General features: G+C 60.0%; 1 protein-coding gene and 1 non-coding gene across 20 annotated transcripts, besides 2 other annotated features; both read right to left on the bottom strand.

The window, feature by feature from the left end:
- On the bottom strand, positions 882 to 17859 carry ARFGAP1 (ARF GTPase activating protein 1). Of its 19 annotated transcripts, XR_001754329.2 has the most exons (15): positions 17752 to 17859; positions 15032 to 15095; positions 14472 to 14581; positions 14021 to 14192; positions 13367 to 13467; positions 12469 to 12555; positions 11677 to 11773; positions 9325 to 9381; positions 7821 to 7853; positions 6792 to 6821; positions 5750 to 5806; positions 4959 to 5018; positions 4230 to 4306; positions 1176 to 3108; positions 882 to 994 (listed from the first exon to the last, which is right to left on the bottom strand). XR_001754329.2 is itself a non-coding variant. In XM_011528901.2 (14 exons), exons 2-14 carry the CDS (start codon positions 15089 to 15091, stop codon positions 2799 to 2801), a joined length of 1251 nt encoding a protein of 416 aa, XP_011527203.1. In that variant the 5' UTR covers positions 15092 to 15095; positions 17752 to 17859; the 3' UTR covers positions 882 to 2798. The 19 variants fall into 19 exon arrangements, 13 of the variants coding, with proteins under 13 accessions (XP_011527203.1, NP_783202.1, NP_001268411.1 ...); XR_007067465.1 differs by lacking the exon at positions 6792 to 6821; XR_007067467.1 differs by lacking the exon at positions 6792 to 6821 and having other exon boundaries at positions 4230 to 4300.
- On the bottom strand, positions 3806 to 3864 carry MIR4326 (microRNA 4326). Its single transcript, NR_036220.1, has one exon. It is a non-coding gene; the product is annotated as a microRNA 4326 (primary transcript).
- Positions 5986 to 6486: an enhancer, noted in NCBI's record as "H3K27ac-H3K4me1 hESC enhancer chr20:61915538-61916038 (GRCh37/hg19 assembly coordinates)". NCBI's record gives its function as "activates a minimal SCP1, AML or CMV promoter by ChIP-STARR-seq in naive H9 embryonic stem cells {active_cell/tissue: H9 hESC(naive)}" and the evidence as "EXISTENCE:reporter gene assay evidence [ECO:0000049][PMID:30033119]".
- Positions 17649 to 17868: a silencer, noted in NCBI's record as "silent region_13151". NCBI's record gives its function as "represses an Ori minimal core promoter by ATAC-STARR-seq in GM12878 lymphoblastoid cells {active_cell/tissue: GM12878}" and the evidence as "EXISTENCE:reporter gene assay evidence [ECO:0000049][PMID:35858748]".

Genomic DNA, 17876 nt, shown 5'->3' with positions numbered 1-17876 from the left:
GGGAAGGGCAGAAGCTGGCCTTGAGCATCCACTGGGTCACGCCAGTATCTGGGGACAGACAGCAGAGGCCGGCTCAAGGGAAGAGACGGGTGGCAGAAGGTGCCCAGCGTGGTCAGCCTGGACTCCTGGAGCCACGGTGGGGGTGGAACTGCATGCTGGAGGCCGGGAGCTGTGCAGCGTTACTGCCCATGCCCCACCAAGCTGGCCAGAGACCGAGACCAGGCTTCAGCCAAGAACGGACCCCAGGCCCACAAAGCCTGGCCGGGACCCGCCACTTTCGTCTTCCCCATCCGGCAGTTCTGACCTCAGCCCACCTGCCCTAAAGCGCTGCCCCAGAGCAGGATGACCCTTGGGAGCCACCCAGTTGAGACACAGAGACTCCAGGACCTCTGTGGGCCTCTCCTGGCTACAGCCACCCTCCTTGCCCTCCAACCCCAGCATCAGGTGGCACCTTGAGTTTCCTGGATACGGGCTGGGATCGTCCCCAGCATAGGGGGTGTTGAATCCCTGGGAGGGGCAGGAGCCCTCCTAGACACAAGCCCTGGTGCCATCCTCTACTACAGGAGCCACTGCCCACCTCCCCAGGCCAAGGGTCACTGGACCCCACCACAGTGTCTCGCTGGCCAGCCGGAGGCACATGCCAGGACCCCGTAAACTCTTCCCTGGCTGGGTCACCCAGCTGCCTGCTCCCCTACTCCCCAGAAGCTCTGGCTCAGATGGGGTGATGCCAGGGCCTCCCCAGGAGGGCTAGGTGGAGGGGGCCAGGAGCAGTGAGGGAGCCCGCCCACGATTCCTAGTGTCCCACCCCTGCCTTCCCGGGGGTCCCATGACCCTACTGGCACAGCACTGGAAGTGGCCCCTTGGGATGCATCCAGACATTCTGCATGTTCCCGTATGCTTTATTGGAATGCTGTCAGGTCCGCGCCTTCCACCTGGGCCCTCACACACAGCAAGGAGAGGCCCCAGCACCGGTCCCAGGCCCACCTGCCCGCACCTGCAGAAGGGAAAGGCCATCACCCTCCGTGGACGGGGTCTCGGCCACCACATCCACCTTCTGAAGGTGGCCCAGACACCTCCACGCTGCTGACTGCACTTCCCATCAAAAGGGACTCCCTGGGGCAGAGTGGGCCGTCCCCCTACCCCCGAGGAAGGCACCCTCCTGGGCGGGGACAGACCTTGGCTCCATGCTGCCAAGTCAAGGTGCTGGCGTGGAAACAGGCACATGTGGAACACCACATCCCACTGTCCAAGGTGGAGTCCACCCCTCCTCGGAGCACTCAGCCCACCAGGGTCCAAGCAGCCCTCGGGAGATACCACGCGGCCGCCCACGTCTCAGCTTGGAGAAAGACACTCAAAGACCCCCACGCTCAGCTCTCGGGGGCTGGCTTCCTGGGCCCTTTGTGCTGGCTGCTTTCCCGGTGGCTTCTCAGCACCTTGAGCCTCTGATGCCCCGCCTCTGACCTCAGGTCCAACTACAGCAGGTGGCTGCTTCGGTGATCAAATCCCTCCGTGGCAGCCAAGGACACCGGCCCTCCACACCAGCTACCAAGAGGGCTGGTGCCCACAGGGAGGACCGGGCGCCAGGAGGGCTCGCTGAAATCTCGGTCCCATCCTGTTCTGCAAGTGGCTGAGTCCCTAGGGTGGGACGAGCACAGGGGCTGAAGGGCCCAGGCTGCTCCAGGAGTGCTGCAGACGGCGACCGGGAAGTGGGGTGACCAGGGAGCATGGCCAAGGCCAGAGTGATGAGCATGGTGGCAGGGAGGAGAGCACCTCACGTACAAACTGCACGAGCTTCGGGCGCATGCATGGCTGGCCAAGACTGAGGGTCACACAGGGCAGACAAGGGAGACGAGTCACACGTGGCAGCACATCATCCAGTCCTCGGGGAGGTGAGGGTTGGCATGTGGCGGGCACCGGTGTGCAGGGCAGCCCCATCCTGGGGCTGGAGCTTCCCTAGACCCAGGCACCACGCACAGGCATCCCCTGCTCAGCTCCTGAACCCGGCCCCTCCTGCCTGGCCACGTCCGCTATCGCACCCTCCTGCATCAGGGCCGAGGGCCCACCCTGCGCTCCTTTTTCTTCCAGGGTGTTCCAGGATGGTCAAGTTCCAGCACTGAGAACAGCTCAGGTGTGGGTGTGGCTATTGTGGAGGCCGTGTCTGGTGAACCTGGTGAACTTGGTGGTGGGACGGTGCTGATGCAGGGGAGCCACAGAGGGTTACGACCGACGCGGGTCTGACAGCACAGGCCCAGGCAGGCGTGGACTCGGGAGCCGAGGGTGGTCGGATGGCAGCGTGAGCGCCAGTATCATTTCCAGCATTTCCATCTTTACCACTCCAGTCACTCTCTTCAAAAAGAAAGAACTAGAGCAAAACCAAAGTTAAATATCTCAACGAGAAGGGACACCTCACGTCGCTGACAGCTCGGCACGTGGCTGGTCCCAGGCCCCAGAGATACTGCGTAGTGAACTGGCCGCTGGAACGCAGTCACAGGCCTCTGTGCTGCAGCCCACCTCCCAGCAAGCCACGCAGAGCCCCGGCCTTGAGTCCAAGAATGCCCAGGGGAGTGTGGGACGGGACGGCCCCCACACAGGCTGGACAGCAAGCCGCCCCCACGCACCGAAGACTCCCCACGCGCAGGCGGCGCACACCCGGGTCTCCCTAGGGTCCTGCCTCCCGAGACGCTGTCCTCACACTGCAGTTGCTGATTCTTGGGTCAAATGGAAGGAGGAGGAACGACGAGGGCAGAGTGCAAACACGAAGTCGCCCGGGGGCGCTGGGGACGGGGGCGCAGTGGGCCCTACCAGTTCTGGTTGTCCCAGCCATCATCAGTGGGCACGGCCGGCGGCACTGCCTTCTTGGTGCCCTCCCCGCCCTCCCCGCCGTCGCTGTTGCTGTTCCTGTTGGTGGAGGCCGAGCCCCACACCTCCCAGCTGTCCGAGCTCCTCCTCTCGGTGGAGGTGTCCGCGCACGTCCAGCTGTCGCTGCTCGGGGACTTGCGGGTCTTGGTGGGCTCAGCACTTCCAAAGGTCTCCCAGAAGCTCTGGTCTATGTTGCTGTTTTGGAAGTGGTCCAGACCGCTGTTCTGATAACTGTGGCCCTCCGAGGGGCTTTTAAAGAGACAGAAGGGGGACTCTAAATGACTGTTACTCAGTCCACCACTGGGAATTCTGTGCCCCCGAGAGCTCTGCACCTGGACAGTGACCGCCTTCCCAGGCCAGCGCTCAGGGTCCACAGCAGCCCCACCAGGTGGGATCTGTTTCTCCCGCTTCAGAGCAGAGGAAACTGCTGGGGAGCTGGAGAACCAGGGCCCACTCTTTATCAACCACCCCAACTGGAGGACAGTTTTACAGAAAACTTCCTTTTCTACCAGCTCCAAACTGCTGCAATAAAACAGTGGTTTAGTCAAGTGGGGAGGGGCAGGGGCGCTTGGCCTCAAGCCGGGACACAGGCCCTCCCGAGCGACGCCCTCAGCTACGCTGGCCCCAGATCTGGCCCTGCCCTCTGTCCTCAGCTGCAATCACACCACTGAAAAACCACATACACAGAGGGAGAGAAGGGACATGGCGTCTGCAGGGAAAATTTGGGCCCACCTAGTGGGCAGTGCATCTGTGCCCACCAGGGCTGGCCTCTCAGTAGACAGCACAAGGCCAGGCCCGATGAGATCCCCGGTGGTTCCCCTGTTGGGGTCAGAGGCCGAGAACAGCAGCCAGCTTCCAGCAGAAGCGACTGGGGTGCCAAGCACTAAGGGCAGAGCTGGACATGGGGCCCAGGACAGGTCTCTGGGGCCCTAGCCTTCCTGTCCCCTGGCCCCCGACCTGCTCCATCCACCCAGAGTCTGGGAGACAGAGGAACAGCAGAGCAGCGCCAGCTCCTCCTACGTGGGGGCATATGGGTGAGACCCTCCCTCCCACCCTAGCCTGGGGAGCCCAGCTCCTGCAGGGTTCCAAAGAGCACACAGCAGGGCAGAGACAGGCAGGACAGGCCTCTGCAGCTGCAGAGCACTCGGAAAGCCTCCACAGTGCCCCCTCCCCAGCAAAGATGCCAGCCACCTCCCGGAGAGGCTCCACAGTGCCCCCTCCCCAGCAAGGATGCCAGCCACCTCCCGGAGAGCCTCCACAGTGCCCCTTCCCTCCCCAGCAAGGATGCCAGCCACCTCCTGGAGAGCCTGTAGGAGGAGTGGCCAAGGCAGGGGAGTGGGATGCAAGGCCCAGGAGGGGACACAGCATACCTGTCCAAGGGGCCCTCTGCTTTCCCCGAAAAAAAGGTGGTGACGTCCCGCCATCCCTTACTACCGACTCCCTGGACCTGGAAGGAGACGGGAAGAGAGGTTAGGCAGGCCCTGTCGCGGCACAGGCAGCTTCAGGAGGCCCCCACACGCAAGCCGGCACGCGCCGTCCCGCTGAGAAGACCCAGGCAAAATCCAGAAACAAGGGGTGCCTCGCACACACGTACAGACACAGACGCCCCGGCCACTCTGCAGCGGTGCCAGGTGTGTGCGGGACATGGCAGCGAGGACAGCCTCGTGCACAGACCTCAAGAGCTCCCACCACATGCTTGGGGGGGAGGAGCGAGGCCTGCTCTTCCCTCCCCGTCTGTCCGCAGAGCGCCTCATGCCAGGAAACAGGACAAAATGCACGCCCCAAATGGCCCGCAGAGCAGTGGGACTGATGGCAGCAAAGACGGCGCTGGCACTTACTTACCGAGGAAAAGGCCAGCAGCAGCAAGATAAGAGCAGAGGGAGAAGTGACAGTTAGTGGCTGACCGGGCCGCAGTGGGCCAAGTTGTTTCCATATCCCTCGGGCTGTCAGGCTGGGCAGCTCTCCTCCCGTCTCAGAGGACAGCGGCCACTGCCAAGCTGGGCTGAGGGCTGCACGGGGCACACCCTGCTCTCACGCCCAGGGCCGTGGAATATGGAGACTGGCTTCGACTGTGCCCGCGTATCTGGCAGGCTCCCTACCTTGGACGCCAACTGAGAGACCCCACTGGAGACATCATCAAAAATCTTTCCCTCCTTCACCTGCACGGATGAAGACAGCGGCATTAATGGGGGCGGGAGAGATGAAAGCTTAAAGCTTCAGGAGTGCAGGAATCCCCCGGGTGAGGGCATCCGAAATATCAGGGGCATGTGGATACCCATCAGGCTGAGCCCCAGAAAGTTCTACAGTGGCCCCAAAGGGATTCCAGCATCAAGAAACCATGTCACTGTGAGGCCTGGTGTCTGCAAACGTGGCCCCTGCCGGCCACTGCTGACAAATAGCAACGTGACCTAAGGACAGCCCACGCTGCCCCAGGTGGGTCTTCCCCACTTGTCCCAGTCAGGCCCCGAAGGAGGCAGGGAGCTGGCGGGGCTCTTGACCCCCTAGGATGGCAGGCATCATTCCCATACCAGAGCCTCCTCTGGGCACAGCTCCGCGGCCAGCTGTGGGGGTGAGGCAGAGGAACGGAGGTGGGCTGGGGGTGCTGGGCTCTGGGGCCAGCTGTAGGGGTGAGGCAGAGGAACGGAGGTGGGCTGGGGGTGCTGGGCTGGGGGCACTGCAAGGGAGGCCCTAGGCCAGGGGAAGGGACCAGCTGGGGGGTCCAAGAGGAGCCCAGGCCCCGAGGAGGACGCCTGTGCTGGAGAGGTGGGGTGTGAGGCTTGGCCTCGCTGAGTCCCAGCTGCTGGACAAACAATCCCCCTAACACCCCTGACACACCCACGTCCCCTGGAGTGAAGGGCTCCAGGCACAACCACCCGGAGCTGCCCGTTACCTTCTCCTGCGCAGGCTTGAGGACGTTCTCGTTCAGGCTGTGGCCCAGCTCGGACGCCTGTAGGAAGGGAAGTCACGTGAGCCCCACGACAGCTCCACCACGGGACACGGGTCGGCAGTGGCAGCACAGGCCAGCAAAGGGCAGCACGAGCTTCACCAGCAGGAGGGAAGGCAGCAGGATACAAGCGCAGGGAGCAGGAAACGGGGCTTTGCACACAACACCCGAAGGGCAGTAGGCCGCCACCTCTAGAAGGCGGAGACCGCGGCCCCCACCAATTCTTGCAGGAAGGTCCCCCTCCAGGGTCCTCCCTCACGCGCCACCATGCGGCCCTGCCGGGCCGGGCTGGTGGGAACAGGCCCTGTGGAGCCTGTGCCTGAGGCCAACGCCGGCTGCAGCCACCCCATGCTGACCTGCAACGCCTCTCCTTCCTCCCCAGGCAGGCACCGAGTCCCCCCTGGAGGGAAGAGGGCACGGAGGCTGGGGCCATAGGAAGAAGCTGCTGAGAAAGGAGCTCAGCCTCTCCTGATCCTGGGTCAGTGGAGTCGAGGCCACACGGCCACCTGGGGATGTGGTGTGAGGCCTCCTCTTCCCCCAAAGGCAGGGAGCAGCACGGATCAAAGGCCGGAAAGGGAAGAACTCGTCACAGAGCAAAGATCCTCCCCTTTGCACTGCGTTCAAGGGAGCGCAGGTGGCCAGGAAACCCTGCTCAGCAGCTCTGCGCCCAGTGCCCCCGCCCTCCCTCCAGCACCTCCCCGGCAGCAGGCCTGCGTTGGGGGTCTGTGTGTTTTGGAGATGGGGGTCTCATTTTTTTGCCCGGGGGGAGCGCAGTGGTACTGCGCAGGGGTGACAGGCACACACAGCCAAGCCTGATGCAGATCCTGGATCTTAAAGGAGAGCCACGGACCGAGGCCAGGGAGAGGGTCTGAGCGTGCGCACATGTGAGGTGACACAAGACAGTGGCAGCACGCAGGAGGGACAGAGGAAGCCAAGCACATTCTCGGCGGAGATGCGGGCGGCATGCACGAGCAGACACGGGCTTTACCGGCTCCGGCTGCTGCTTGTGACCCCAAAACTTTACCCGACAGCAAGAAGACAGGTGAGGAGAGAGCAAGGTGAGGGGCGGCATTAGTAACCAGCAGCGCCTTCGAACCCACCATGGGGTGCCGCAACACTAAGGCAGCACCGGGCAGGCTCTCAGCAACACAACCCTGGAGCAGCCGCTCCCTGCCCTGGAACTGACCACCACCTTCAGAAACTGCGCGAGCGACTGCACCTCAGGACCCTGGGAGGCCCACGAAAAAGCCAGATGGGCGTCCCTGCAGCTGGGGGTGGGCACGTGGGGAGACTCCCTCAGAGAGGAAGGGGTGATATGGGCCACGGGGGTGACGGATGGGCACCTCGTGAGAAAGGACACCCTCGCCCAGGGGGCAAAGGCGCGTCCTAGAGCCATGCACAGCTCCACGCCTGCAGTCCTGAGCTTTCATGGTGAGCCTCACATGGGTACTGCCTCCTGGGTGTGATTCTGAACCCGAGGACAGCCAGATCACAGCCCTGACCACCAAGTGGGAACCGCGGGGCCCCTACCCACATCCTAAAGAATAAAAAACATGCAAAGGCCTGAGGCCACACTGCCCCGACTGGGGGAAGCCCTGGCCAGAGCAAAGAGACGCTCCGTTGCCTCGAAGTGCAGACGCGTCCAGTGTGCCGCAGGCACAGCACCAACCACAGCGGCCCTTCTGGCTGAGCGGCCACCGCCAGCGTGGGCCATCTGCCAAGCCGGGCAGTCCTGCTCCCAACAAGGTGGCCGGCTGCAGTGGCCACACACCGGTACCAGCTACCAGTGAACAGGAAACGAGTTTGGCCCTGCAGGCCCTGAGTGGGTCCATGAGGCAGCCACCCGGGCATGAGGAGGGGAACAGCATGGCAGGAACACCCCCTTCTACGCTGGGACCCCTCAGCTCTGAGCATGTGGCCTGAGAAGAGGGAACCAGGCAGCTTCAGGTGCTGCACGTGACGTCAGACTCAGGATAGTTTCAGATGCACCAGGGTGCAGAAGCTTCTCCTCTGTTACCTTCTGACTCGCTTGGGATCCAAACTTTGTAGCCTAAAATGAAAAACAAAGACAAGGCTTGACAGACTTAACATGGGCTGCCAGGCATCCTTCCTCAGGGCCCACAGACTCAGGTCCAGGACTGTCTCTCAATGGCCCCCGGGCTGCCAGCGGCTCTGGGCGGGCCCTATAACTCTGAGATGCCCAGAAGAGCTGCAGCAGAGACTGGATTAGCACAAATGCTGGCCTCTCCCTAGAGGGAGGCCAGCTCGGTGTGCTATTGGGGTGAGGGCACACGTGAGCAGCGTGCAAGGCCAGGGAACAGCAGGGCCAACCCCATCCTCCAGACTTCAGGACAGGGCCGGGGCCTGCTGGAGCAGAAGACGGGCTGGGGAAGCCACACCAGCGCTATCTTCAATGGACAGTGCCACCGCCCCAGCCCCATCTACCCTGCTGTGGGGACGGCTCCATGCCCAGCACAGTCCAGGCACCTTGGTCACTTTAAAGCTCGGGGGGAGGAGAAAAGGCCCGGTCGTGACACTCTGGCTGGAAGGTACCTGGGCCTCCCCAGGCCGCAGCCCTCCCGTGCAGACGAGAAAACGGCGGCCCTGGCGGGAACCAGAAGCTGACGCTCGGCAAAGTCACGGGGCCGTGGGAGCTGGAGCGTGGACACCTGGCCTGCTGCCCCTTCCAGGGCCCTCCCAGGCCTTCCTCTCCCAGGGAAGACACGGGGCCAGAGTGACCACAGGGGCATGTGACAGGTGCGCGCTGTGACGGGGGAAGACACGGGGCCAGAGTGACCACAGGGGCATGTGACAGGTGAGCGCTGTGACGGGGGAAGACACGGGGCCAGGGTGACCACGGGGACATCTGACAGGTGCGCACCGTGACTTCCACTCACAAGAGCCCCACCCTAGGTGCCTTGGCTGCTTCTGCGGGCAGCTGCAGGCACCCAGCTGCCCCGCGCTGCCCTGCTCTGGGCTTCCCCTTCTCCTGTAACACCACAGCCCAGCCCCCGGGGGCCCATGCTCCATCCTGGTGTCAGGCCTGCTCTTGGGTCTCTGCCTCATGCTTCACTGTCTGCCCTGACGAAAGCCCCAAATCCTCCCCTCATTTCAGGCTGAGGAGCAGGCGAAAGAGAGAAATCGCTCTCAAAACACGACTTGAGCCCCAGAAGAAGCTCCAGGGCACAGGGTGCCGGAGACCTGCCCTGCTTGGATAGGGTGGAGTCTAGGAATCAATGGGGCTCACATCTCCCTCACTTTCATCAGGGCGGGACCCCTTTGCCAGCAGCTGGTCTGACACAGGAGCAGCTCCTGACAGCCTGGGCTGCTGTGTTCCTGCAGAACCTCCAAGGTCTCAGGACCACCCTGGCTGGTACTGCGTTGGCACAGCCCATGGTTACAGCACCCAGAAACCCTCTGTGTCCCACATCCCTTCTGCAGCTCCCAGAACCCCAGGCCAGCAGCAGCCAGTGTCCCGAGGGCCTGGTGGGGACGGTGGCATGGCAGGGGCAGTGACTTACGCCCTCCTTGGCTGCCGAGGCAAACCGGCTGGCTCCAGTGGTGAAGCTGCTCCAGCCCTGAGGGAGGCGACAAAGAGCAGCCACATCAGGACTGGGACCCAGGAACCCGGCGCTGAGCAGAGTATCTCAGCAAGGAAGAGGACCAAGGCAGAGGCTGCCCCAGGCCCCCGTCCCATCCTGACCCCACCGCGCCTGCTTCTCCAGGCTGCTGGAGGAGTGCAACTGGACCCAGGGCACAACAGAAACGCACCCTCTACCCCCACCTCGCCAACTGCAGTGCTCCCAACACAGCGCAAACCAGCCTCCCGTGGCTCCCACCACCCTCAAGAAGCAAGCCCACCCTGCAGGGCAGGACCCCTCCCCATGGCCGGCGCTCCCTCCTGCCTCCCTAGAGGAACAGGCAGAGGTGAGGCGTGTGGGGTCACGACCAGCGTAACCTGCTCTCCTTCATCTATGCTCAGGGTTTCCTTCTGAGCCTCTCAAGATAATTAAAGCTATTTAAAAAAATAAACGTCTCATTTCAATCACAACTCACCCTCTTCCTCCTAAAGGAAGTGCAAAGGGACCCTCACTTGAGAGATCACCAAGCTGAGCTGCCTTCCCCAGAGAGCAGCTTCCCAGCAAAAGGCAGCAGAAGGAAGGGCCACAAAAATGAAGCCCACACACAGGCTGGAAAAATGCGCTTTTCTTCCCTAAAGATGTAGCAATGACTGCAAGAGCTAGCAACCATGGCCGTCAGCGGCCAGAGGTGCAACCAGGCCACCCCGAGCGACTGGAAGCTCCACACACTTGGGGGCTCTTGCAGATGAAGACATCCGCTTTAAACCTGCTTATTTCCAGTTAACAGACTTTGAAGATCTTGTCATGCTAGTTATTAAAAAGCCCTTTCTGGCCAGGCATGGTGGCTCATGCCTGTAATACCAGAACTCTGGGAGGCTAAGCAACTTGAGAGGCCCAGGTGGGAGGATGGTTGAGCCCAGGGTTCCAGGCCACAGTGAGCTATGATTATGCCACTGTACTCCAGCCCTGGCAACAGAGCAAGACCCGTCTCCAAAAGAAACAAAAACAAAAAAACAAAAAACAAAATAAGCCCTTCCTTGGCTCTCAGCGCAAGCTCCCGTTTAAGCAGCCCCCGTGGCCAAAGGCTCAGGTTGCTGGTGTCACGGACAACAATGCTGCAATGAATAAAAATCTTTTTTTTTTTCTGAGATGGAGTCGGACTCTGTCGCCCAGGTCGGAGTGCAATGGTGCTGTCTCGGCTCTCTGCAACCTCCGCCTCCCGGGTTCAAGCAATTCTCCTGCCTCAGCTTCCTCAGTAGCTGGGGCTACAAGGCACATGCCACCCCGCCTGGCTAATTTTTATATTTTTTTAGTAGAGACGGGGTTTCGCCACATTGGCCAGGCTGGTCTCGAACTCCTGACCTCAGGTGATCCGCCCGCCTTGGCCTCCCAAAGTGCTGGGATTACAGGCGTGAGCCATCACACCTACAAAAATCATTTTTTAAAGATGGTAAAAATTTCCTTGGAAAAAGAAAGTGGAACAAAATGTATTCCCGTTAATAGCAAAATGGCAACAAGCCCAGGGTGTCATACTCTGAACATCTGACCTGGAGCTTCCAGGCATCCCCAGACCAGAAATGGCCCTGAGTGACCTCAGGCAGCACCCGAGCAACTTCCCAGCGCTGCCAGAGACCCAAGCACAGAGCCAGCTTCCCAATGCATGTAGCACTCCCCTCTGCAGAGAACCTGGCCAAGTGGCTGCCATCAGAGTCCTTGGGTTCCTTGGAAGAATGGCTGTTGTTAGATTTGAAATACACACATTTTGTGTTAGAAGTAAGTGATGGCCGGGCACGGTGGCTCACTCCTGTAATCCCAGCACTTTGGGAGGCCGAGGCGGACAGATCACCTGAAGTCAGGAGTTCGAAACCAACCTGGCCAACCTGGTGAAAACCCATCTCTACTAAAAATACAAAAATTAGCCTGACGTGATAGTAGGTGCCTATAATCCCAGCTACTCAGGAGGCTGAGGCAGGAGAATCACCTGAACCTGGGAGGCAGAGGTTGCAGTGAGCTGAGGTCGCACCACTGCCCTCCAGTCTGCAGCCTGGGCGACAAAGCAAGACTCCGTCTTAAAAAAAAAAAAAAAAAGGAAGTGATTGAATACATTTGGGATCTGAAAAATTTAAGCCACATTTTTGAAAGAAAACGTCGCTGAAGGTAAGGGAGGGGTCCTTAGATCAGAACAAGGCAAAGAGCACATGTTCCAGGACTGCCACACTGCCCACTATGGCCCGTCGTGCCCTCAGGGCGGGGTCTGCCCATGGGAGATGCTCTGCAGGGCCAAGTCCTCACCGAGTACAGGGAGGACATGGCGTTGTTGAGGAAGTCATCTTCTTTCTTCTGAGGCGGTGGCGTGTTCCCAAACCCCACGTAGCGATTCCCCTGGGCCCTGAAAACAAAGCGGACAAGAGGCCGAAGATGCTGGCATGAACCCTGCTCCTCCCGAGGGCGTGGGGCCCTGAACACAGGCAAGGCTGGGGCTCTGGGGGACGTGCCAACGTCCCCACGCACAGGACATGCACGCTGCCTCCTGTGGCAGCAGAGAGATGTGCTTTCTGATCATTTAAAAAGACCCTCCTGCCACATCACCACAGGGTCCCCAGCAAGTCCCCAAAGCCAGCCACAGAAGTACTAGAAGAAGGATCAAAACAACTTAATATGACAGCTTTGGGGATAAAAATTCATTTATAGGTCCAGCAGATTCCACGCAGAAAATGTGTTATGCTTTTCTTCTAAGTGTTAGCGCTTCTCTACACCCAAGACCCCCAATTCACACCTGGGCAGCTGGGGGTCACTGCAATACACCCAAGACCCCCAATTCACACCTGGGCAGCTGGGGGTCACTGCAATACATCTAAGACCCCCCAATTCACACCTGGGCTGGCTGGGGCTCACTGCAATACACCCAAGACCCCCAATTCACACTGGGCTGGCTGGGACTCACTGCAATCAGACCCTGCACCGCGCATGCCTGGGTCCCACACCCACTGCACATGGGAGGCCCCAAGGGAAGCAGCCCTACCCACCAGACTGAACCCTGTGGGCCTGGCCCACGCCAGGCGTCCCCAGCTCTCAAGTCCTTACCCTTGATAGGAGCCGAGGTCATCATTCAGCCAGTCTTCAAAAGCCTTGTCCGAGGAGGCGGTCACACTCTGCGGCTGGCCAGAGACTCTGAAACCGAGAATCGAAGGCTGGTAAGGCCAAAACTGGGTGAAGTCTGAGGTAACCCCAGAAGCACCCCCAGAACCATGTGGCCTACGTGGGCAGTGCCTTCACGTCACCCCTGAGAGCACCTGAGGCCAGGGTGGCCTTCAGCTCTGAGTGGCTGCTCGGGCTCAGGTGCTGAAACCCCAGCAATGCCAGCCTCATGGGCAACACGAGAGGCCTCCACAGTGGGCTCTGCACTCTCCCTGTTGGCAGGAGGCAGCGGGGAGAGGTGAGGCAAGAGGGCCGAGGGCCTGGAATCAAGCCGGAGTTGCCCGCAGTGCAAAGCCTTCCGTCAGAAGCACGTGGATGTGGCAGGACTACAGGGCTCCAGATGAGGTGGGGAGGCCTCGTGCTACCCAGTCACCCCACCCGGGACGTTCCTGCAGTGGGATGTGGGACGCATCCATGACGGGGTCAGTTCAAGGGTGCCAGGGCCAGTGCCACAGGCAGATGGGCAACTCTGGGGAAGGGCAGACAACACCCCCGTGAGCAGATGGAGATGTGAACTCCCACAGCGCCACGGCAGACACGGCTGTGTGCACACCTGGAAGGCGTGCGGAGCTTACCTGGGGCGCTATCTGAGACAGCTCTATGGGTGTCTAAATTTACTAAAAGCTTGTATTGTTTTGGCAATTTTAAAAAGCTGTTTTTCCCACTGACTTCTGGGAAAAGAGCTGTCACAACAGCAAAGAAGGGGAGAATTCTGTGGGAAACCCAATCTACTAAGTTCAGGACCCAGTGGAAACTGTACTAAGGCCCCACGAGGAGCAGCTACCGGTGCACCATGGACGGCAGCGTCCTGGGCTGAGGTGGGGTCCAGTTCTGGGCAGGTGATGACTCCAGAGACCACTCTCTGCCTTCGGCCAGAGCGACCACCTGACAAGGAGACACAGGGCATTCGAGAGCATAAAGGCGCCTGGCGATGCCCTCGGGCACCGTCGACTCCAGCGCACCCCCCACGGCCCGCCTGGAGCACCCACCACCCGCAGCCTCCTCCCGGCCCCCTCGACGGCCCCTGCTCAGGTGCACAGACCAGGTGTGGATGCGAGGCCAGGACTCACTTTACAATGAACAACAGTGCTGGGGAGCTCCTAGTTGGTGCAGCTCCAACTTCCAACACAGGGGGACCCACCTATTTGGCCTCCAGACTTCTTAGAAACACTGTGCCCAACATGTCACAGAGGCAATAAACGGTCACAGCTGCTTTCTCCCCTGGAGGCGGGGAAGGTCTGTCTCCCCCCGCAAGCCATTTGCCTCCCCTCTGGGCAGGAAGCCTCTGCTCCAGGGCGGCAAGTTGTGTGTGGCCCAGTGGGTGTGTCAGAACCAGCAGAAGAACCGACTCCAGAACCACTAAAGGCCACAGTCCAGCTGCCACAAACGGCAGGGCAGCCCCACACCATGGGCAAGAGTGAATCGGGCCCATCTCTACCTTATCCCTAAAGAGGGCCGCGGCTCTGCTGTTGTACTTCTCCTGCAAGGACCAGCAAGGATCGTAATCCTCCTGAGACTCCAGGAACTCTCGGAACTTAGCATTCCCACCAGCTTTCATCTTCTCAAGCTCAATGTCCTTCCACTTGTCCATAGTAACAGAGCGCACAAAGCTGGAAAGCAGAGGATCGAGCAGATCAACCAGCACCGGGGACACCCAGGGACACCCTCCACCCAGCATCGTCCTGAGAATTAGACACAGCAAGCAGCAGCCGCAGGGAGGCTGAGTGGCCAGCAGCTGGAACTCTGTGCCATGGCGTCACTAGAGTGGACACTGGCAATGCAATGGGAGGTGGCCCCCAAGCTTCCCTGGCGTCAGCACCTCTGGTGTCAGGAACAGATGCTGGGGTGGCCGCAGGCTCTCCGCAGAGCCAGAGCGGCAGGACACTGACCTGAGGTGAACCCCAAGCCCGCGGTGTCTCCCCGAGCACTCCAGGCAGATCCAGATGCCGTAGGTCACACTGACCCACTGAGGATTGAACGCGCCACACTCAAAACAAACCTGCAAAGGGGCCACAAGTGACTCACCAGGTGGCTCAGGGCAGAGCCCAGGGACCCCAAAGACCCGACAGGTGGCCTCAAGGAGCGAATGCAGAGGGCTGCCCAGGGTGGCCGGGGGTGTGGGTCAGGGCAAGGCGTGAGGGGAAAGAGCCTCCGTGTAATAAAATGTTCAGATGGGAAGACGAGGCGGACCTGTCCTTAGAGCGAGTGACCTGAGAAATGTGGAGGCGCCCCCACCCCCGACAGCCAGCACTGATGAGCGCCAGAAATGGCACCACTCTAAGAGCCGGCCACCCAGGCCACCAGCCAGCACAAGCCATGCACGTCCAGAGCCACGCCAACCACCATCCACTGCAGGAGGGTCCCAGAACTACAGGCTCAGAGTACAACTTCCCGGAACTCACTGACCCTGACCAAGCCTTAGGGCGGGGGGTGGGGGGCAGAGGCTTACGTTGTTCTCATCCTGCACCCTGACTTCTTTAAGAACCTTCCTGGTTCTTGGGCTGGCCATGATGCTGCAAAGGAGAAAAATAAACACTTTAAACTTACAAACAGGCTACTCTACAAAAAAGAAAATAACGTCTGTCCAAAAACACCACACAACAGAAAACCTGAGGGGCAATCTGTTGAGCTGCTTGGAAGCCCCGGTCACAGGACCACTCGCAGCAGGGGTCCGCAGGGACCACTTACTGAAGGATCTGTTCCCCATACCCCCAGGAGGCTCCCAGGCTGCGGCCAGGGCGATGATCAGGAAGACCATATCATTACTGCTGCCGCTTTGCTTAAGCTTATTCATCACCAAGACTGCACCAGTTATAAAAAGTCCTGTCTTCTAATGGTGAAATCCACAGCAAGGGGTAGTCTTTAAAAATACACACAGATTGGCTGCAAAATTCGATTTTCCACCTAAAAGGCGACACACCACACTTGGGCTGATCACTGCCAACGACAGGGAGCCCAGGGACTCTGCGCTCCACCCTCCCCACCACCTTCCCAACGCAGTGCAGGGAGGCTCCCGCCTGTGCCCCGCTGCCTGGAGTGTGTGGAAAGTCCAGCCTGCTGGGGGACCTGCAGTAGGTCCTTCTGGGGCCATTCTGAGGCATGGGGGCGACAGTGTGGCTGCTGCAGGACAAGGAGAGTGGCTTCAGACCATCAGCCCCCACCACAGTGACTCACGGGGACCCTACTGGGACAGCAGCAACAAGGTTTAGGGTGAAGAGAAAACCTATGGATGTCTCTGCAGCTCTCCTAGCTTCAGCAAAGTACAACTTCAACTGGTGGCCCATCTAATTCAGGACCAGGAAAATTGATATAGTTAAGATTCAAAGCCGGAGGAAGGGGTGGTACCAACCCCAGCGTCAAGGGGGAATGACCCAGTGGCCCTGCACACCACGCCACCGAGCAAACTGTAGAAGATAGTCCAGCCTGGAGGCAGCAGACCTGGATCCCTGCCAGCCCATGCCTCAGTGCGTTGTCTGAGGCTCATCCACCTCTCAATATGAATGGAGCCGTGTGCTGTTCCCTCTACCTCTCACTACACAGAGAACACGCTGAACTCTGTAAGCCATGGGAAGCTACACACGTGTGTACTGCTGACCTTCCCAGTGCCAGCCCTTCCCTCCTTCACTGTGTTTAAGAGGACTGTGTAGACCAGCTTTCCTATTCACAGTGTAGGCAGAGCTTTTAAAAAACAAAAAACAAAAACCTCTGTCTTATATTTCATTTCTAATCTTAAGTATCCAGAAATAAGATATTCACTGGGCGGGGGGGGGGGGGGGGGTCCCAACTCCACACGGCCAAAGTTTCTAAATTCTGAAGCCCATGACTCCTAGTATTGACCAGTGCCCACCTTAAACCTATTCAAAGTTAGGAAATAAACACCTGTTTTCTGCAGTTCATCAAAACAAAACCAAAAGTTCACCCTGGGCTCCCTTCTGCTCCATAATTCTGTGCCTTCTGTAAGAGTGTCCAGGAACCACAGATCATGAGGCAGACATCTGAATGCTCACTCCTGACCGCAGGACTTGGACCCCCAGCATGACTCATTCAGGCGGATACCGTCATCAAACTGAGCATCCACCTATACAGCCGACTGAGGATGGAATAGGGAAAACCTGTGGGGAGAGGTGCCCTGGCGGGGCAGGGAGCGGGACTGAGCTTACAAGGGCCTCGGGACACATTCTTGTCACAGCAGCCACTGAGGGCCCTGTGCAGAACCACGGCACATGCAGAAGCCACGGCCCACGGAGAGGAGGTGAGCCGCCAAAGCAGGACGAGACCAATCCTGGTCGCCATACTCGGTCCTGTACTCTTTCCATAGCACCACGTCTGCCCTCGGGGCTTATGTATTGGTCAACAGACACAGGCAAACAAAAGTCAGAACCATGAGGAGACGGCTGGAATTTCTAACTGTAAAACATACAGGATACTCACAGAACTACCGGAGGGAGAGAGTGTGTAAAAAGGAAAGGACTTGGCTTGGATTTAAGAGGAACTCCTCTACGTGACTATTTTGAATATTCAAGAGCCCTAGTTCCCTGAAATGTTAAAGTTAGTAACACGAAAGCAAATACCTCCTAACCTTCAAAAGTACAAATATAGTTTATCTTGAAAAATAACGCAAAAACTCTGAACGCTTGAAACCAAGATGTAAAAATATATCTCCTTCTTAGGACCCTCACTTCTTAGGGGGTGGAAGCCCCACCGGGCTTCAGAGGCCACCTGACTGGGATGTGTCCAGGCCGAGTCCTGGGTCCGAAGGAGCTCGGGAAAAGGGTGTTGAAGCGGACGGGGCAGGGTCCTGCTCGCGCCCCGGGAGGCGACGTGCGTGGGCAGGGACCCTCTGGACTCCCGTAACCGGTGGGAGATTCCAGATCCGGGGTGCGGGTGGAGGGCAGCTTCGTACGGAAGGGGGCACGAGGGGCGGGGGGCGGCACGGCGGAGGGGCGGCTGCAGCGGGGCGTCCGCGCGAGAAGGGCCCCGCCGCCCAGCGCCGAGGGAACTGGGGGAGGTCAGGGTGGGCGCCCCCAAGCTCTGGGGCAGCAGCCTCAGGGTGGAGCGGGGTCCGGGTGGAGGAGGCTGCGGCAGGGAGGTCCGCCCGCGAAGGCCGGGGACGACGCCGCGGCAGCCGGGGCCTCAGGCCGAGCCCGCGCCGCCGAGCCGCGCGCTTACCTGGAGGGAGGGGCGGGCAGGGCCGCCGGGGTCAGGCCAGGGCCGAGGTAGGGCCGCCGCACTGCAATGAGGATGCGCCCGGTCGCCCACCAGCCGCCACCAGCTTCCGGCTACGTTGCGCTTTG

Source organism: Homo sapiens, chromosome 20 (genome assembly GCF_000001405.40).
Source record: "Homo sapiens chromosome 20, GRCh38.p14 Primary Assembly".
Taxonomy (NCBI): Eukaryota; Metazoa; Chordata; class Mammalia; order Primates; family Hominidae; genus Homo; species Homo sapiens.
The sequence above is the reverse complement of the archived record's forward strand: the minus strand, read 5'-3'. Positions and strand labels throughout refer to the sequence as shown.